Genomic DNA, 20,933 nt, shown 5'->3' with positions numbered 1-20,933 from the left:
AAAAAGCCTGCTCGGCACGGGACACATCCAGGAAAACAATGTGGTCAGCTGAAGCAGGAAACGGGTTAGAGGATAGGGTCGGAGCCGGGAAAACCGGGGGGCGGCGAGCGGAAGGCAGCCGTCGCCTCCCTCAAGCTAGGGACGATAGTGACTATAAATGCCACCCCCAATATTTTTTTGACACCCAAGCTCAGAGATCCCAGATATCCCACCCAATCCCAGGCTGGGGATGGGAGGAGGTCGGTGAGGTCGCAGTCCTGACTCCTCGCACCAGGCGGTGCCCGAGAAGATCCGGCCCCGGACGAGGCCCAGGGGGCTGGAGGGACGCAAGCGGGAGCGCGGAGCCCGGCGACTAGCTCCCTCGCGTGCCGCAGCGGCGACCCTTTCTACTTGGTCTTTCCTTTTCCTCCGAGCGCCGGGAGGAGGAAGCTCCCGCTAGCGTCTCCCACTTCCCGCGGCTGGAGGAAGGGGCCACGCTGAGGGAACAAGACAGGGAGCAGAGGCGGCGGGGTTCAGGCGAGCGGGAAGCGGGAAGCGAGAGGCGGGTGTGAGATGGGGTCCTGAGGCTGGAAGGGAGCCCGGGGACAACTGGAGTTGCACACGCTCGGAAGGCGGGAGGCGGCAAGGAGAAGGCTGCCTTAGAGGTGAGGGGAATTGGGGCATGATCATGGGCCGCGATGTTGCGTGAAGCGCAAGGATGTCAGGAACTGTGGGGGCCGAGATGTGGTCTAGGGATGGGAGTGGGCGAAGAGAAGTCCATCGGGGCGGGCCGGGGGGTGGGACTCGGGGAGAGCCCCGGAAGCTGCGCGGAACACCCATCCTCCTGGGTCCTAGGCTGGGACCCGGGCTGTCCGCCAGGGCTGGGAGACACTGGAGGAGGCCGGCCGATGATTACGCGCGATGCCAACGACGACTGCCCTACGGTGGACCGCGGCTGCCCGTGTGCGGAGGAAAGGGAGAGGCGGCTGGGTGCCGGCTGCGCTGCGGTCCGTGAGCCAGGACGGAGTCCCAGGCTGTACAGTGATGGGCGGAGAGACTCGCAGTCCTGAGAAGTATTATGGGCTGTACTGGGAGATTTGGAGAGGGTGGAGGAGGGGCGGTCTGAGGGATTCCGGGCGGCACCGCTAAGGCGATGCCGCGAGCAGCATCCGCGCCCTCTCCTTCCCGCCCCAGCCCGGGTTTGTTCAGTCAGGGCTCCAGCCCGGCGGCCGGGAGGAAGAAAAGGAAGAGGGAAGGAGCCTTTACCTGGCTCTGACGCGACGGGTCCCAGGCCCCCGGCTCCGCTTCCCACTCAGAGCTCTCCTCCCCTCTCTTCCCCGCCACCCGTTTCTACGCAGATCTGTGCCCCAGTCCCTGGAGGAGCCTCCGCCAACTCCGCAGGACCCCGCCGGGAAGTAGAGCCCACCCCTTTACCAATCACCGCCCGTTTTCTATCGACCGATGGGGCCCATAGCCAATAGGAAGAGCTGATCCCGAGAGGCCCGGAATGAGGGGGAGGAGCTGGCAAAACTTGGAGGTGTGACTAGCACTGCCGAGGCGTGGTCACAGATTAAGCTCCACCCCGGGTTGTTGAACCCCTAAGTAGAACTGATGGGCGGGATTAAGGTGGAACCGACGACCAAACACAAACTCTTGAGCTGAGGCACGGCCAATTGGGCCGGGGTAGAGAGGAGGGGTGTTGCGGGGAATTTTAACCAATAAAGAGTAGAGACCGGTGGAGACTGTAGACCCTCTTCCAATAAGAAGCGGGAAGGGCGTGCCTTGCCACTTTCACTAGGGCTAAAGCAGGGTTTGCCGAAACCTCCCGAAGCCGGCCAATGAGATCGGAGGCGGAGCCAAGCTCAGCCGACCAGAAAGCCGAATTGATCTCAGCACCGTTACTGGGGCGGTGCCTACGGTCTTCAAGCCACTAAGCTCTCGTGAGGGGAGGCCCCGGAGCCTTCCAATGAGGGACTGGGGCTAACTCTAGTTCTTCCAATCGGTGCGCGGCGCTGGCAATTCAAACTGATACCGGGTTGGAGAGGCAGGAAAAGCGGAAGAGGGAGCGAAAACCAACGTGTTCGGTGACAGACCCCAGCGCCGACTGAGCCTCTAAAGCGACTTCAGCTCTGCCCCACCAACACCACCGCGCGCCCGGGAACAGCCGCTCCGGGAAGAAACCTGAGGGGACTGCGGGGGGCACGAGGGACAGCTGAGGGAAGGGAGGACGCGAGAGAAACAGCGCGAGCACGCTGAGGGCCGGGGGTTGCCAGGAGAGGGGCCCGCGGACCCGCAGAGCGGAGGAAGGTCCGGGAGAAAAGGGGCGGGACGGAGGAGAATCCGGGATCGCCTGGCAGAAAAAGAGAAGGGAGTTTCTGAATCCTGGGAAGAGGAGGCGTGGGTAGGGACGCTTAGCCCGAGATCCGACAGCAGGGAACCGGAGCGCTCCGGGGGAGGGGCTTAATGCTGGGGAAGGGATGTCTTAAAAGAGGAGAAGCTTTAAATTAGACGATCGGAGAAGGCTGAGGGAATTGCTATGAAGGGGCGGGAGCTGAAGTGTAGAGGACTCCTTTAGACAGCAGAAAGGGAAAGCCGTTGAGAAGTTCCCTTCAAACTCCACCTGCCTCCTCTCCAATTCAAACTCCACTCCCTTCTCCAAAAGTTAAAAGGAAAGCCAAGTTTGCCACGCTCCCCTGTTCCTACTCAATAAATACTTCTTCTACTCCGCCACCGGGAAAACAGAAAAAAAAACTAATTTCCTTCCCAATATTAGGACTTAGAAAAGCTCTAGGTCCCGCAATTTGAATTTTAGCCTAGGGGAATCAAAATAGTAGGAGCATTACTCTTGTTTCCTTTTTCAAAATCCCACACCTCATCCTTCCTGCGACGCCATGTCCACCAACATTTGTAGTTTCAAGGACAGGTGCGTGTCCATCCTGTGTTGCAAATTCTGTAAACAAGTGCTCAGCTCTAGGGGAATGAAGGCTGTTTTGCTGGCTGATACTGAAATAGACCTTTTCTCTACAGACATCCCTCCTACCAAGTAAGTCATGCTAGTGGCGGGCAACGGTAGCTTTTAACTAAATGGGAACACTTATGGCTTGGATCTGTGGGAGTCAACAAGGAGGTTATCATTTCGGTGTTTCAGCCACTCCCACCAGTTTGATGATCCCCTTGGAATATATCTAAGTGGGCAGACTGTCTGGACAAAGTCTGTGGTTTAGCCAAGGTGGTCAGTCCTGATGTAATGCTTCTAGTTCAATTGCAGTCATGCGACCACACATCTCTTAAGTTTGATCCCTGGTTCAGTGCCCTGCCCAACCATCCTATTTCACTGAATCAAGTCCGTGGCGTAGACTTTAGGTAAATTCAGGCAAAATTTTCTGTACTGTTGGAGAGGAGAGGTCATTTAAGTTTTTCATTTTTATCCATGAAATTTTGCACCAAAAAAAAAAAATCCGTTTTCTATCATTATTTGCAATTGGCATCCTAAATCAGATCCGTTGTTCATCAAATTCAGTTTTCTTTCCTCAAAACTCTCTCTCTCTGAAAGAGATGTAAATAGATTTTTATGGGATGAAAAATAGAGACTTAGCCTTAATCCTTATCTCCAATAAAGACTATTTTGGACATTACACATTTGTTCCCATAATTGAACCCTTTTAAAATCTGTTTGTTTTCAGCCACTAACTGCTTTTGGGTGTAGAGTCCTTAAGAATTTGCTTCCTATTTGGTAAAATAGCCATTTTATTTGACTCAAATAAACCTCTTTCTAGCTCTAAATGGTACTTTCCCTTTCCATAATCAACATATATATGCCCTACATGAATCTTCAAAATTTAGTTATTTATTGAAATTTTATTATTAAAAGGAAAGTAATTATCCAAAATATGAGTGGACAGTTATTCTCTAAGTCTTTGGATATAGAGCCAGAGGAAGCAGGTTAATAACCACAATTCATTTTAAATGAATTTCATGATAATGATAGAAACTTTACAAGTTTTTTGATTTACCCAGGTAAAGCTGTGTACTCTTCCTTTCTTGAAATCTTTTCTGAATTGGTCTAAGTGTAATCACGTCTAACAGCAAAGCCAAAGGCTCTCATTTATTGCAGAGATAAATGTGTTATTTTAAAATCTTTTTAATTTTTTTAAATTCTAAGTTAATATTTTACATTTGTGTGTGTGTACATCGTATATGTATTTCAAAAAAGGGAAAACACTAGAAAATAAATCATAGAACCTACTGCTACAAAGTTCTGTGATTCATTGTCCACTGCTTTTTCTTTTTAGTAGCTCATACACAAATTTAAAATATTAACCCATTCATCTTTGCAATAGCTATGGTAAGTAATAGGGCAGTCATAAGGAAGGCTAGGTGAATTGTTACAGGTTAGACCCAAGTCTAGAATAGAATCATGTTTTTCCTATTTTCTACCCTTCTTTGTAGGGGTTAAAATAATAATGAATTAGTGTGCTAAGATGTATGTGAATCAATGAACACATAAAAATTTTTTTAATGGAAAATTTGTCAGATGTTTATGTTGAGCTCACAAATATGAACTGACTCTTTAAAAATATACTATACTTCTATGTTAGCTTTCAGCTCTTTGGATTGACAAAATTTGTGCTAAATCAAGCGTAGAATTACTATCTGATCCAGCAGTTCTGGGTACATATCCAAAAGAATTCAAAACTGGATCTTGGAAGAGATATTTGCACACCCATGTTCATTAACAGCATTATTCACAATAGCCAAGAGGTGGAAGCAATCCAAATGTCCATTGATTCTACAGATGAACAGATAAACAAAATGTGGTATAGGGCGCCTATAGTTCCACCTACTCAGGAAACTCTGGTAGGAGGGTCACTTGAACCCAGGAGATTCATTACACAGCAATGTGATTATATTTAACACATCTGCTCTGCACACATAAAACTTGTTAAGTTGGTAAATTTTGTTAATTTTTTGCCACAATTAAATTTTTTGTAAAGTACATCTGACTGTCTTTTTATACCTTTCTCTCTCCAGCGCAGTGGACTTCACTGGAAGATGCTATTTCACCAAAATCTGCAAATGTAAACTGAAGGACATCGCATGTTTAAAATGGTAATTTGTGGCACTATTCTGGATAGCTCTGGGTTTGGAAGATGGATATTGACACCAAAGCATAGAGAAAGGTTCAGTGGGCTGCAACAAGGACTGGTATAAAGCATGCAATGAGCCATTGAAAAATTACTTATTACTTAGAGCTATTTTTTAAAAGGGTTTTCTGATGCTTCACATTAGTATATAATTTTACAGTTTTCAAAGTGTATTCACAGTATCCGCTTCAATTTTCAGAACAAGGCAATGTAGGTTAGGGGGGAGAAACACCTGGATTTACAATAATAAAAATCATGTTTGAGGTCTGACCCTACCCTTACTCTCTATGTGATCTTGAGTGAACTCCTTTAGCCTCTAAACTGCTGAACCTCTGTTTTCTTATTTAATTTCTAGGTTATTACTCCTTCTTTCTTTGTTTTTAGAGGGGTCTCATACTGTTGCTCAGGCTGGAGTGCAGTGGCATGATCATAGCTCACTGTAGCCTTGAACTCCTGGGCTCAAGTGATTCTCCTACCTCAGCCTCCTGAGTAGCTGGGACTACAGGCAGGCACCACCAGGCCTGGCTAAGTTTTTTATTTTTGTAGCAATAGGGTCTTGCTATGTTGCCCAGGCTGATCTCAAACTCCTGGCCTCAAGTGATCCTCTCTCCTCAGCTTCCCAAAAGGCTGGGATTACAGGTATGAGCCACTGCATCCTACCTTAATTTCTTTCTTTCTTTCTTTTTTTGAGAAGGAGTTTTTGCTCTTGTTGCCAAGGCTGGAGTGCAATGGCGCGATCTAAGCTCACCACAACCTCCACCTCCCAGGTTCAAGTGATTCTCCTGCCTCAGCCTCCTGAGTAGCTGGGATTACATGCACGCACCACCATGCCCAGCTAATTTTTTTTTTTTTTTTTTTAGTAGAGACAGGATTTCTCCATGTTGGTCAGGCTGCTCTTGAACTCCCAACCTCAGGTGATCCGCCTGCCTCGGCCTGCCAAAGTGCTGGGATTACAGGCATGAGCCACCCCACCCAGCCATTCTGTCTTATTAAGATAGAAATTTAATAATCTTCTGTGTTTACCTTATCAAGTTATTATAAAGAGCAAATATGAATGTTAAAGTGCTCAATAAACTATAAATTACAACAGCTGAGAGCTATTACTATAATCTTTTGAGAAGTAGACGTGTTATTATTTTCATTTTAGGAGGATAAAAGTTGAAATTTTCTCATTTAGATGGGGTTTGTATTTAGAAGGGGTTTGTATTATAAATGACAATCCTAATAATTTAAATTGGCAAGCTCTTCTTATGTGCTATTTGATTTCATTCCTTTATTTAAGCTATACTTGTATTGAGGAACTAGTATGTGGTAGTCATTGTTACCAGGGCTGGAAATACAACAAAAACTAGATGAAGTCACTGGCCTTTGGACATTATTTTCTTCTTTCTTTTCTTTTTTTTTTTTTTTTAAGACGGAGTTTTGCTCTGTCGCCCAGGCTAGAGTGCAGTGGCACGATCTCAGCTTACTGCAACCTCTGCCTCCCAGGTTCAAGCGAATCTCCTGCCTCAGCCTCCTGAGTAGCTGAGACTACAGGCACGCACCACCATGCCCAGCTAATTTTTCATATTTTAGTAGAGACAGGGTTTCACCATGTTGGCCAGGCTGCTCTCAAACTCCTGAGCTCAGGCAGTCCGCCTGCCTTGGCCTCCCTAAGTGCTAGGATTACAGGCGTGAGCCACCGCACCCAGCCCACCCGGCTAATTTTTGTATTTTTAGTAGAGACGGGATTTCGCCATGTTAGCCAGGCTGGTCTCAAACTCCTGACCTCAAGTGATCCACCTGCCTCGGCCTCCCAAAGTGTGAGATTACAGGTGTGAGCCACCGCACCTGGGCAACGACATTTTTTTTGTTTTGCTTTGAGACGGAGTCTTGCTCAGTTGCCCAGGCTGGAGTGCAATGGCATGATCTTGGCTCACTGCAACCTCCGTCTTCTGGGTTCAAGTGATTCTCTCACCTCTGCCTCCTGAGTAGCTGGGACTACAGGCACGTGCCACCATGCCCAGTTAATTTTCGTATTTTTAGTAGAGGTGGGGTTTCGCCATGTTGGCCAGGCTGGTCTCGAACTCCTGACCTCAAGTGATCCACCCGCCTCAGCCTCCCAAAGTGCTGGGATTACAGGCATGAGCCACCGCACCTGAAGAACAACATTTTCAAAAGAAAACCAAAACAGGAAAGTTAATTTTAATCATATATTTTGTCTAACCCAATGTATCCAAAATATTATTTCAACATGTAACCAACATAAACTACTAATGTAATATTTTATATTCCATTTTTTGGTCTTACTCTTTGAAATCTGGTGTACATTTTACACTTAACAGCACATCTCAATTCAGGCCAGCCCCACTGCAAGTGTACAACAGCCACATGTGGCTAGTGGCTATTATTCTTGACAGCATAGATCTGGACCTTGGTATGGAAAGGTTTTTATTTTCATTTTTGGCTATTGAAGAGGTTTTAACCAGGGAGCAGAATGATCTGATGTAGCCTCGCTAGACTGTTAGCTCCGTGACAACAAGGGCTTTGTTTTGTTTACCAGTGTATTCCTAGCACCTAGAGCAGTGCCTGAAAGATAGCAGATACTCAATAAATGTTAGTTTAAGTGATGAATCAATGGATGAATGAATGAATATAGGCGGTAATTAAAGTCATGGAATTTACTTTTGCAATATAGTCTTACAAATAACTGGCACTCCTAGTCCAAACACAACTTTTGTTTTCATTTGTTTGCCTTTCAAGCAAGTTATAATTAGAAGACATATTTTAGGTGGAATGGTACCTTTTATAGTAATCTTTATTGGGTCTCATAAAAATGACTGACTCACAAATCTCACAGAGTAAGACTAAGCTTGAATAAGAATTTTTACAACTCAAGGTATAAACAGTTCATGTTGCTATTTTTTTTAAAGTACTAGCTAAAACATTCCCTGTAGGTTCACTCTATTTAATATGTGACTAGCTAGTTAAAAAAAAAAAAAAAAAATTGTGAAAGACTGAGGTACTTATAATCAGCTGGATAATTCTGAAAACTGTAAAAACTTTTGCAACTTTCTCTGGAGGCTGTAGATTGCTTTATTTCTGAGTTCCTTCAAAAACACTGAGACTAAAATTAGAGCAGCCAGATTGTATTTGGTTTACAGGGACTCATGCTGTCTTCCTACCTCTCCATCTGTTGAAACAGTTTTTAGGTGCTGGCATGAAACTAGAACATGTAAGAACCCAACTTGCCACAGTCCTGGGATAGCAAAAACCTTTACCCACAGAACTGAGTTAATTTAATTTATTTTGTCTGTACAGCACATCAATTTGGGTGGTTTATAAAACAAATCACAACATTATGGCATCTAGAAGCTAACTTCTGAAGGGAGAATGCATAAAATAATACTAGCAGGACAAGCATGGTGGCTCATGCCTGTAATCCCAGAACTTTGGGAAGCCAAGGCAGGTGGATCACCTGAGGTCAGGAGTTCGAGACCAGCCTGGCCAACATGGTAAAACCCCATCTCTACTAATAACACAAAAGTTAGCTGGGCATGGTGGCACACGCCTGTAATCCCAGCTATTCTGGAGGCTGAGGCAGGAGAATCACTTGAACCTGGGAGGCGGAGGTTGCAGGCACTCCAGCCTGGGTGACAAGAGCAAAACTCGGTCTCAATAATAATAATAATAATAATAATAATAATAATAATAGCAAAGAAATGTGAGAATATTTTACTATTATTCACTTAAAGACTGCTTTCCCACTTGATGGTAGAACTGCACCCCCATCCCATCCCAAAGATCTCAGCAATGAAAGTTGTTAGGAAATGAGATCTAAATTATATGGTCTATTTATATAAGCAATATGAAAAGACTTATCTGGCTAGTTATTACATGGTATCTAGTAACATTTACTTTCTTTTCTAGTGGGAACATTGTAGTTTATCATGTGATTGTTCCATGTAGTTCCTGTCTTCTTTCCTGCAACAACAGACACTTCTGGATGTTTCACAGCCAGGCAGTTTATGATATTAACAGACTAGACTCCACAGGTAAGAAACAATTGACTTGGACATTCCTGTAACATTTCTCTATCAATACCTGAGTAAAATTCCCAATAGATCATTTCAGGATTCCTTTTAGATCTTCTTAGCTGGATTAGCTAGAGTGAAACTTCAATTCTTTTTTCCCAGACATTCACTTATGAAAACTATTAGGCAAAATTCATTGTCATTTCTATGTTCATCCTTGTACTTAAGGCCTCAAACTTGGCTGAATTTCTTGGTCTTTTAAAATGAATATTATAATTGCTCTTAACTGCTGCCTTGATACATATTCTGACTCCAGAGAATTTTTGAAGATTTTAGATTTGATAGTCTAATGCATGTGTGTGTCTGTGTGTGTGTGTAAGAAAGGGAGAGGCCAGGCCTAGGGCAATGGGAGTTGAGAGGAGGAGGACTAAGTAACCTCTGTATTTGGTGATGCTTCAGAATAAAAACAGACATTTCGACATCTATGTTAATACGTTATGACAGAATTTTAGTCAAGGGAAATATTTGACACCAAAGTATAAAGTATGTTGTACAGGCACAAGTGGAGATATTGTAGGTTCAATTCCAGACCACCATAATAAAGCAAGCAAATATCACAATTAAAGCAAGTCACACAATTTTTTGGTTTCCCAGTGTGTATAAAAGTTATGTTTACAATATATTGTAGTCTATTAAGTGTGCAATAGCAGGACATTTAAAAAACAATGTGCATACCTTAATCAAAAAATACTTATTCGGCCGAGAGCAGTGGCTCATGCCTGTAATCCCAGCACTTTGGTAGTCCAAGGCGGGAGGATCACTTGAGCCCAGGAGTTTGAGACCAGCCTGGGCAGCATGCTGAGACCTCATCTCTACAAAAAAAATACAAAAATTATCCAGGCATCGTGGGGCATACTATCGTCCCAGCTACCCAGGAGGCTGAGGTGGGAGGATCACTTGAATTTGGGAGGTAGAGGCTGCAGTGAGCTGTGATCATGCCAGTGCATTTCAGCCTGGGCAACAATATGAGACCCTGTCTCAAAAAAGAAAAAAAAAAATGCTTTATTGCTAAAAACTGCTAATGATCATCTGAACCTTCAGCAAGTCATAATCTTTTTGCTGGTGGAGGGTCTTGCCTTGATGTTGATGACTGCAAACTGATCAGGGTGGTGGTTGCTGGAGGTTAGGATGGCTGTGGCAGTTTCTTAAAATAAGACAACAATGAGGTTTGCCGCATGGATTGACTCTTCCTTTCACAAAAGATTTCTCTGTAGCATGTGATGCCATTTGATAGAATTTTACACATAGTAGAACCTCTTTCAAAATTGGAGTCAATCCTCTCAAATTCTGTTACTACTTTACCAACTATGTTTATGTAATATTCTAAATCCTTTGTTTTCATTTCAACAATATTTACAGCATCTTCATCAAGAGTAGATTTCACCTCAAGAAACCATTTTCTTTGCTCATCCATAAAAAGCAACTCTTCATCCATTAAAGTTTCATCATGAGATTGCAGCAATGCAGTCACGTCTTCAGGCTCCATTTCTAAGTGTAGTTTTCTTGCTATTTCTACCACATCTGCAGTTACTTCCTCCACTGAAGTCTAAAACCTCTCAAAGTTACCCATGAGGGTTGGAATCAACTTCTTTCAAACTCCTGTTAAGACTGATATTTTGACCTCCTCCCATGAATCAGGAATGTGCTTTTCCAGGTTTTCAATGTACTTTGCCCAGATCCATCAGAAGAATTACTATCTATGGCAGCTATAGCCTTATGAAATCTATCTCTTAAATAATAAGACTTGAAAGATTAAATTACTTCTTGATCCATGGGCTGCCAAATAGATGTTATGTTAAGGCATTAAAGCAATATTTATCTCCTTGTACAATGCCATCAGAGCTCTTGAGTGACTAGGTGCATTGTCAATGAACAGTAATATTTTCAAAGGGATTTTTCTGAGCAGTAGGTCTTAACAATGGGCTTAAAATAGTTAGTAAAACATGCTGTAAACAGATTTGCTGTCGTCCAGGCTTTGTTGTTTCATTGACAGCGCACAGGCAAAGTATATTTGGCATAATTCCTAAGAACCCTAGAAATTTCGGAACAGTAAATGAGCATTGGATTCAACTTAAAGTCACCAGCTGCATTATCCTCTAACAAGAGATTCAGCCTGTCCTTTGAAGCTTTGAAGCCAAGTATTACTTCTCCTCTCTAGCTATGAAAGTCCTAGATGGCATCTCCTTCCAATAGAAGGCTGTTTTGTGTATATTAAAAATCTCTGCCGGATGCAGTGGTTCACGCCTATAATCCCAGGACTTTGGGAGGCCGAGGTGGATGGATCACCTGAGGTCAGGAGTTTAAGACCAGCCTGACCAATATAGTAGAACTCTGCCTCTACTAAAAATAAAAAATTAGCTGGGCGTGGTGGTACATGCCCAGCTACTTGGGGGACTGAGGCAGAAGAATCACTTGAACCCAGGAGGTGGAGTTTGAAGTGAGCCGAGATCGCACCATTGCACCAAGAGTGAAACTCCATCTGAAAAAAAAAAAGGAATAAGAGGCCGGGCGCGGTGGCTCACGCCTGTAATCCCAGCAGTTTGGGAGGCCGAAGCGGGCAGATCACCTGAGGTTGGGAGTTCGAGACCAGCCTGACCAACATGGAGAAACCCCGTCTCTACTAAAAATACAAAATTAGCTGGGCATGGTGGCGCATGCCTATAATCCCAGCTACTTGGGAGGCTAAGGCAGGAGAATGGCTTGAACCCGGGAGGCGGAGGTTGCGGTGAGCCAAGATCACGCCATTGCACTCCAGCCTGGGCAACAAAAGTGAAACTCCATCTCAAAAAAAAAAAAAGAAAAGAAAAGAAAAATCTGTTGTTTAGTGTAGCCACCTTCATCCATAATCTTAGCTAGATCTTCTGGATAACTTGCTGCAGCTTCTACGTCTGCACTTTTTGCTTCACCTGAACTTGTATGTTATAGAAATGGCTTCTTTCCTTAAACTTTATAAACCAACCTCTGCTAGCTTCAAACTTTCTTCTACAGTTTCCTCAACTTTCTTGCCCTTCATAGAATTGCAGAGAGTTAAGACCTAGCTCTGGATTAGGTTTTCGCTTAAGAGAATATCATGGCTGGTTTAATCCTCTATCTAGGTCACTAAAACTTTCTCCATATCAGCAATAAGGCTATTTCACTTTTTTATTCTTGTTTTCACTGGAGTAGCACTTCTTATGTCCTTTAAGAACTTTTCTTTGCAGTCACAAGTTGGCTAACAATTGGGCATAAAAGGCCCAACTTTCAGCCTGTCTCAGCTTTCAATATGTCTTCCTCACTATGCTTAATCATTTCTAGCTTTTGATTTACAGTGAGAGACATGCCACTCTCTTTCACTTGAACACTTAGAGGTCATTGTAGGGATATTAACTGGCCCAATTTCAATATTGTTGTATCTTAGGAAATAGGGAGGCCCCAGGAAAGAGAGAGAGAACAGCTGGTCAGTGGAGCAGTCAGAACACACAAAATATTTATCGATTAAGTTTGCAGTCTTAAGTGGGTGTGGTCTTAAGTGGGTGTGGTTCATAGCACCCTGAAACAATTATAACAGTAACATCAAAGATCACAGATCACCATAATATATATAATAATAATGAAAAAGGTTGAAATATTGAGAGAATTATGAAAATGTAACAGACACAAGGTAAGCATATGCTGTTAGACTTACTCAATGCAGGATTGCCAAAACCTTCCATTTATATAAAGCCCAGTATCTATGGTGTACAATAAACTAAAGCACAATTGAGGTATGCCTATACTAATTATTTTAGCAAGGCCAGGCATGGTGGCTCACACCTGTAATCCCACACTTTGGGAGGCCAAGACAGATGATCACTTGAGGTCAGGGGTTCGAGACCAGCCTGGCCAATATGATGAAACCCCCCTTGAACCTAGGAGGTGGAGGTTGCAGTAAGCCGAGGTGGCACCGCTGCACTCCAGCCTGGGCAACAGAGTGAGATCCTGTCTCAAAAAAAAAAAAAAAAAAAATATTTTAGTAAGAAAGTACACTACCAATTCTTTTAAAAAAAAAAAATTCTTTTTCCTTGTGTTAAGGTGCTGAGGCACTGAAATACTAATTCTTTTTTTTTTTTTTTTTTGAGACAGAGTTTCACTCTTGTTTCCCAGGCTGATGTGCAATGGTGTCATCTTGGCTCATGGCAGCCTCTGCCTCCCGGGTTCAAGCGATTCTCGTGCCTCAGCCTCCCGAGTAGCGAGATTACAGGCATACGCCCAGCTAATTTTTTTGTATTTTTAGTAGAGATAGGGTTTCACCATGTTGGTCAGGCTGGTCTTGAACACCTGACCTCAGGGGATCCGCCTGCCTCAGCCTCCCAAAGTGCTGGGATTACATGGGATTACAGACGTGAGTCACCATGCCTGGCCTGAAGTACCTTTTTTTTTTTTTTTTTTTTTTTGAGATGGAGTCATTCTGTCACCCAGGCTGGAGAGCAGTGGCGTGATCTCGGCTCACCGCAACCTCCACCTCCCGGGTTCAAGTGATTCTCCTGCCTCAGCCTTCTGAGTGGCTGGGATTATAGGTGCGCACCACTACACCTGGCTAATTTTTGTATTTTTAGTAGGGACGGGGTTTTGCCATGTTGCCCAGGCTGGTCTCGACCTCCTGACCTCAGGTGATCCGCCCACCTCAGCCTCCCAAAGTGCTGGGATTACAGGTGTGAGCCACTGCACCGGCCAAAGTACCAATTTTTAAAGGGGATTTATATAATACTTTTTATATTGCCTGGAGCCATTGAGTTTTGTTATAAGACACATGTTCTCCATGTCTAACATCTATTTACACAACAGACCAAGTTGATTTTAAGGAACTTTTTTTTTTTTTTGGAGACAGGGTCTTGCTCTGTCACCCAGGCTGGAGTGTAGTGGCACAATCTTGGCTCACTGCAGCCTCGACCTCCCAGGCTCAAGCCATTCTTCCATCTCAGCCTTCTCAATAGGTGGGACCACAGGTGTGTGCCACCATCCCTGTCTAATTTTTTGTATTTTTCGTAGAGACCAGTTTTTGCCATTTTGCCCAGGCTGGTCTCGAACTCCTGTCCTCAAGTGATCTGCCCACCTTGGCCTCCAAAGGGCTGGGATTACAGGCCTGAGACACCTCGCCAGCCGACTTTAAGTAACTTGACAATCTAAGTTGACACTAGCATTCTTAGGTTCCTAAATGCATGTTTTAGTCTCCTTTAGAACTTAAATGTATTTTTTAAATATATGATTTGCCTTCACAGACCAAAAGATCACGAATTGCAAGCTAGGTTGTCAAGGGTCTTTAAATCCTCCAATTATGCTTAGATTTTTGTAGATTTGATTTTTTTATCTGGGACTCAACTGTGGCTCTCAATCTATCATTTATGGGGTCTTAATTTAAAACTTTGGTATGTTAAGAAGGCCATTTTCATGTAAGGACTTATCTGAACTCCCCTAAGTGGGATACAGTCTCCTAATTTAAGTCTCCAGTTTTATATTTGTGTTGCCCATGGGACACATTAAAGGAAGTTTCTGCTTTGATAGTATTTTTCCTGCTTTACAGAATTCAAAACACAGGGTGGAGATTTTTCAAGTTTGATTTACTTTTTAATATTGGTCAATTTTTCAAAGATAAAAGCCCCGCATTCTTCCATTTGCACTGAATCTAATCCATAAGAAACATGTATCACAGGATTTCCTTCCTCCCTTCTTAACAGAGAAAGGAAGGTGCTGCTTCTGTCAGATCCAATCTCTTAGTTTATTTTTCCTCCTTTGAACCAATTGTGCTGAGCTGCTTCATGTCTCTGAGTACTGACTCCAAGAATATCAAGCTTCTGCTTTGTAACCCTAATATTGTGATTTCAAGCAAGATTTTCTAGATGCTTGGTATCAAAGCAAGTTTCTAATGGCGCCACAACTGTCCTTGAATCACCTGAACCAGCAGTGTCAAAGGAATGCATAGACAAGCCTTATAAATTCTATAATGTTTAAACTGAAAAGGACTCCTGGAGGTCTGTTTTCTAGGCTAGTCTTCATTTAGAGACCTGATTTCCCAGAACTTTCTGGAGGAGCCTTGGGAAACCTCAGCTCAAATTTCCTGAAATTGGCAAATGCCCTCAGAGTCAAAATGGCTTCAGCCCTCCATTTACATTTATGGGTTCTAATTTTCACTTTGATTTTTGCCTCGCAATTCCTTACAGCTCTTCCTGTCAGCTCTTCCATGACATTTACCTGGAGCAGAACACCATTCATTCTTAGGGTGGGGGTGGGGATGGGGTAGCGTTTTCTATTATAAACAATTCAAACACGAAAAGATTATAGAAAATAATAAGATACACATCTGTATCCCTACCAGCATCAGATACATGCTAAATTCTTGCCAGATTAGATTCCAGTATCTCCCTCAGTCAAGGTAAACAGTTAATTATTTCTACTGTTTCAACAATGTCACACTACACATCCCTGTGCATGTCGCCTTGAACCACCTATGCAAGATGGGCAGCTGAGGAAGGGATGAGCAATGGGCTGTATTTGCAACATTTTTAAAAATTCACAAAATGGAATACTCTCCAGAAGTAAAAATAAATGAACGAAATCTACACAAGTTAACATGGATTAACCTCAAAAACATGACGAGTGAAAAAGCAAATTAGAAAACAATATGTAGTGTAATAACATTCTATACAAAATTTAAATCCACTAAACAGTAATATATATTGTCTATGTTGCATGCATTTGTAGTAAAACCATGCATGGTGTACTAGCAGTGGTGAACACTGGATTCAAACCAAATCTCCAAATCCTGGCTCATTCCATTCCGCCATGTGGCTGCTATCTCAGTGTATATGGGGTGGGTATCCTGAATTGCTGGATCCTCTTTGTGTCCACACTGATAACTGGACAGCTTAAGATTTGTTTTTCTGGCCAAGTGTGGTGGCTCACATCTGTAATCCCAGCACTTTGGGAGGCCGAGGCGAGGGGGATCACCTGAGGTCAGGAGTTCAAGACCACCCTGACCAACGTGGTGAAACCCCATCTCTACTAAAAATACAAAAATTACCCAGGCATGGTGGCATTCGCCTGTAGTCCCAGCTACTCGGGAGGCTGAGGCACGAGAATCACTTGAACCTGGGAGGCAGAGGTTGCAGTGAGCCAAGATTACACCACTCGACTCCAGCCTGGGCAATAGAGCGAGACTCCGACTCAAAAAGAAAAAAAAAAAGATTTGCTTTTCTTGTGAAGTTAATTGGCTATCCTAGAGGTCAGTTATTTTCCATTTAGTGCTTTTAACTAATAATGTAATATATGCCCAGAGTAATAAACTTGTCATTATCCTCTACTGTATGTTTAGTCATTTACTGTATACCTGTGCTTCATTCTTCAATATGAAATCTGACTATTCTTTCTCAGTGAAGTTTTTGATTATTCTTTTGTTTATTATAGTGACTGCTGCAACCTGGCCCTAAAGTTCAGTTTAAAGCTCTGCCTGTGGACTGAAACCCACTGGTACCAAGGATTGCAGTTCATATTATAACTGGCTCCGAACCCTTGCTTTTTTTCTGAATCAGAAAAATGGCACCAGCTACTTCTCTGCTTATTGAAGGGATGAGGAGACTTATTCAGGACTTCTCCCTGAACCCTCCAAAGAGGCATTTAATCTAAAAGGATCTTGTGAGATCTCCATTCTTAAACATCATTAAAATAGATCAGAAAATTATCAGTGTATAGTGATTATGTTATAATGCAGCTGGAGGCAGAGTTTGAGTAAATGGACTCCTGAGAGCCTTTTGAGCTGTAAAATTCTAGAATTCAAGCCCTTGCTTAAAAGGATTTAAAGAATGTTTATGTCCTAGCCCTTTAAAAAAAAGTGTTTGCCAGGCATGGTGGCTCATGCCTGTAATCCCAACAGTTTGGGAGGTCAAGGAGAGAGGATTGCTTGAGCCCAGGAGTTTGAGACTAGCCTGGGCAACATAGTGGGAACCTGTATCTACAAAATAAAATTAGCCATGTGTGGTAGTACACGCCTGTAGTCCAAGTGACTTGGGAGGCTGAGGTAGGAGGATCACTTGAGCCCTGGAGGTTCAGGCTGCAGTGATCTGTGATTGTGAACCGTGATCCTGCCAGGCACTCCAGCCTGGGCAACACAGAGAGAATTTCTCTCAAAATAAATAAATAAAGTTTATGTCCTAGATGGATAATATTAGGTAATTTTATTTGCAGTACATTCTTCAATAGCTACTCTTTTTACTGCTAACACTATGGTTTACATAAGAATATTAACATATAAAGTTTCGTAATTTGTGTTCTGAGTTATAACAGTAGTAAGCATTAAAGAATTTTATGACTTTTTATTTTCAGGTGTAAACGTCCTACTTCGGGGCAACTTGCCAGAGATAGAAGAGAGTACAGATGAAGATGTGTTAAATATCTCAGCAGAGGAGTGTATTAGATAAATGGAATTATGATATATATGATATACAAACTTTTTTCTATTTAAAAATATATTAATGGATCAACTTTAAAATTGTTAGTTGCCAGTGATCTTTTTTGGAAAACAAAAATGGGGCATTTGTTGATTTATTTATTTTCTGTCTCTAATTAGTTACCTCAGTTTGATTGAAGCCAGTGGAGTTGTGCTTTTCCTCTACTTCTACTTCCTCTCCCCCACCTTTTTCTGCCCAGTGTAGGTGTATTCTTAAATTCAGACGGGAAGATTCTTTCACATATCACTCAGTTACCTCCCAATCTGGGGGAGTTTTTCTTACAACTTGATACCAGATACCATTAATTTTACATTCCTGAATAAAGGCCTAGTACCCACGCATATTTCAACCATGCATATATCAAGTTCAACCGAGTTTTAATAGGGGATTAAAAAAACAAGCTGTTAGGTTTCCATGGGCACTGGTTCTCATAGGTTCTATTGGTGATAACTGCTTTAACATGGAGCAAGAGTTTGTGAATCAGGAAATAGAATAAATTAAAATTTAAAATATATAGAGGAATCCTCTTGATTGCTCAGCATGATGTTAGATAAATGAGTTTGTCAGAAAATATCAGTATACGCTGTTTACCAATGTTATTTATTTACATTCTTCTAAAGCCATTATGGATATTGTATTATGAGAGCTAAACCTAAATAAGTTATCCTGTTCCCTAGGACCTTCTCTGTAAATAGTGAATTTTAGACGAGTAGTCTGTCCTAAATCTTAAATAGAAAAAAAAACTAAAGCGATTTGCTTAAGCCATTGTACATTATAAAGAGCTGTTTTGTTTTGCTTTGCTTTGCTTTGTTTTGTTTTTTTTAAAGCTGCATTCAGAGCCACAAAGGAATAGGAAAGTAGGGTAGTGTTGGATTCTGGTTTTATGTAACTCTAAAATAAATGTATCTCTTTAATATCTCAGTTGTAGGGATTTTGTCAATACCAAAGCAGACTGAGTTGTGGTTTTGTAAATAAAGTTTTTTCTAAAAATGACCATTCTTCCTTTAATTTTTTGTTATGCCCACATATTGTATGTAAAAATATAAATAAATGGTACTTAAAGTATAGAATATAAGGCTAATGTTTATTGAATACTTACCATATGCCAGACACTGTTCTAAGTGCTTTAGACGTTTAACTCCTCACAACAAACCTATGAGGTAGGTACCATTATTATTCCTTTTTTTTTAAACTGGTAAATCAGGTGAGACAGAGAGAAGTTAAGTAATTTGTTTAAGGTAGCATAACCGGTTAGAGGTGCTCAGACAGAAGACTGACTCCAAAAGCTCCTGCTCATATGATTTATTTATGGTCTTACTTAGCCGCGATACCTGCTGGGTAACTAACTACATTGTTATGTGCCCTAGATGAGGGCAGAAGTGACTGATTTGAAGGTTGAATAAACTCATGCAGGGTCTTAGGGTATAAGTGACCTGAGGGCATTGAAAGAATCATTTGCCACAAACCAAGATAAAAGGTGCTTCAGGAAATGCTATTACTCCCTCCTGGAAAACGTTTCCAAAAATCTTTCACACCAACCATTAACACTGACAGAAGGCCATCAAAAGAACCAATGGAATGAGTATGGAATAATTTGTTTTGCGATTTGGTTTTTTGGGTGTGTGTGTGTGTGTGTGTGTGTGTTGTAACCTCAAGTTCTTAGGTGAGCATAATCTATAAGAGAAAAAATATATATATACTTCTTTGGTTAACTTGCTCAACTAGAGAAGAAAAGTTTAATACTAGACTAGGAAATGTGGCAAATTTAAAATTCAATAGAGTTCATCTGGTTTCCGTTCAGCTCATGCCTTCAAAGGCTATGGTTGACCTAGGGTCTCTCTGAAAAGCAAAAGCAAGACAGAGGTGCACTGATTGAAGCAAGCCCCAAATGTGATTCTACTCCAGCTGGGGAATATTTCAAATTACTCAACTACCTTTGGTTAACTGGATTATGGGAAAGCCAATTCTAAACAGAAAGCTGATTAATAAAGTTTTATCTAAAGAAATATATTCATGACACTAGTGTGGTTTGAGGGTTTTTTGTTGTTGTTGTTGTTTTCTTTAGAGACAGGGTCTCGCTTTGTTGCCCAGGCTGGAGTGCAGTGGTGTGATCATAGCTCACTGCAGCTTTGAAGTCCTGGACTCAAGCAATCCTCCTGCCTCAGCCTCCCCTGTAGCTAGGACCACAGGCATGCACCACACCTGGCTAAATGACACTGGTTTGTGGGGCTTTTTTTGTTTGTTTGTTTGTTTGTTTGTTTGTTTTTGAGAGAGGGTCTCGCTCTGTTACCCAGGCTGGAGTGCAGTGACATGATCTCAGCTCACTGCAACTTCCACCTCCAGGGTTCAAGCGATTCTCATGCCTCAGCACCCCCGAGTAGCTGGGACTACAGGCATGCACCACCATGCCTGGCTAATTTTTGTAGTTTTAGTAGAAGGAGTTTTGCCATGTTGGCCAGCCTGGTCTTGAACTCTTGGCCTCAAGTGATCCACCAGCCTCGGCCTCCCAAAGTATTGGGATTACACGCATGAGTGTGAATCCAACACTGTTTTTGGGATTTTTTTTTTTTAGATGCAGTTTCACTCTTGTTGCCCAGGCTGGACTGCAATGGTGTGATCTTGGCTCACCACAACCTCCGCCTCCCAGGTTCAAGCAATTCTCCAGCCTCAGCCTCCCAAGTAGCTGGGATTACAGGCACGTACCACCACACCCAGCTCATTTTGTATTTTTAGTAGAGATGGAGTTTCTCCATGTTGGTTAGGCTGGTCTCGAACTCCTAACCTCAGGTGGTCTCCCGCGTTGGCCTCCCAAAGTGCTGGGATTACAGGCATGAGCCACTGTGCATGGCCTGTCAACACTGTTTTTAAATAAAAGCAAATTACATTCACTCTGGTAAGACCAAAGCAGAATCACATACATGGATTTAGGATACACCTTCTACTCCTAGTATAATTCCTAGGCCTAGAAGATCCATCTATTCTTTGGTCCTCTTTTAATATTTCATTCAATTCAACACACCTGTATTATTCTCCAATAGTGTGGCAAGAATTGTACAATGACATGCTCACACTTGCCTTCAGGGAGTACACAGTAAGTTGAGGAAAGGATAGAACTCTGTGAGTCCATTTATTTCATTGGGTTAAGTGATTTAACAAAGGCATGCTTAAAGTGCTATGACTCCAGAGATGAAAGAGCAATCATTCTGAGTAGCAGGAGAGAGTGGGAGTTGAGCAAGAGAGCATAGGAATTGAGAAAGCTACTGAGAAGAAATGATACT

At 42.6% G+C, this 20,933-nt stretch overlaps 1 protein-coding gene and 1 pseudogene across 12 annotated transcripts in view; one reads left to right on the top strand and one right to left on the bottom strand.

The window, feature by feature from the left end:
- Positions 1-1,373, bottom strand: part of SRGAP2D (SLIT-ROBO Rho GTPase activating protein 2D (pseudogene)) — a 97,066-nt pseudogene extending 95,693 nt beyond the window's left edge. The window contains exon 1 of the transcript NR_120535.1: positions 1,246-1,373. The product of NR_120535.1 is annotated as an SLIT-ROBO Rho GTPase activating protein 2D (pseudogene) (transcript). The remainder of the gene's footprint in view (positions 1-1,245) is intronic.
- FAM72C (family with sequence similarity 72 member C) lies at positions 448-18,725 on the top strand. Of its 11 annotated transcripts, none has more exons than XM_047424428.1 (5): positions 448-644; positions 1,338-3,022; positions 5,011-5,088; positions 9,033-9,157; positions 17,531-18,725. In XM_047424428.1, the coding sequence occupies exons 2-5, from the start codon at positions 2,871-2,873 to the stop codon at positions 17,623-17,625; spliced, it is 450 nt and encodes a 149-aa protein (XP_047280384.1). In that variant the 5' UTR covers positions 448-644; positions 1,338-2,870; the 3' UTR covers positions 17,626-18,725. The 11 variants fall into 11 exon arrangements, 10 of the variants coding, with proteins under 10 accessions (XP_047280384.1, NP_001332996.1, XP_047280385.1 ...); NM_001346067.2 differs by lacking the exon at positions 1,338-3,022 and adding an exon at positions 835-1,052; XM_047424429.1 differs by lacking the exons at positions 1,338-3,022; positions 17,531-18,725 and adding exons at positions 835-1,052; positions 10,556-10,661.
- Positions 18,726-20,933: the final 2,208 nt, after the last annotated feature.

The sequence above is a fragment of the Homo sapiens genome, chromosome 1 (assembly GCF_000001405.40).
Source record: "Homo sapiens chromosome 1, GRCh38.p14 Primary Assembly".
Lineage (NCBI taxonomy): Eukaryota > Metazoa > Chordata > Mammalia > Primates > Hominidae > Homo > Homo sapiens.
Note: the sequence above shows the minus strand (reverse complement) of the source record. Positions and strands in the feature narration are given on the sequence as shown.

Bases quoted from the DNA above. Each gene is read 5' to 3' on its own strand.
- FAM72C (XM_047424428.1), top strand. From the start codon at position 2,871: ATGTCCACCAACATTTGTAGTTTCAAGGACAGGTGCGTGTCCATCCTG. The intron at 5,089-9,032 runs GTAATTTGTGGC...TTTCTTTTCTAG, and splicing joins GACATCGCATGTTTAAAATG to TGGGAACATTGTAGTTTATC. The intron at 9,158-17,530 runs GTAAGAAACAAT...TTTTATTTTCAG, and splicing joins TAACAGACTAGACTCCACAG to GTGTAAACGTCCTACTTCGG.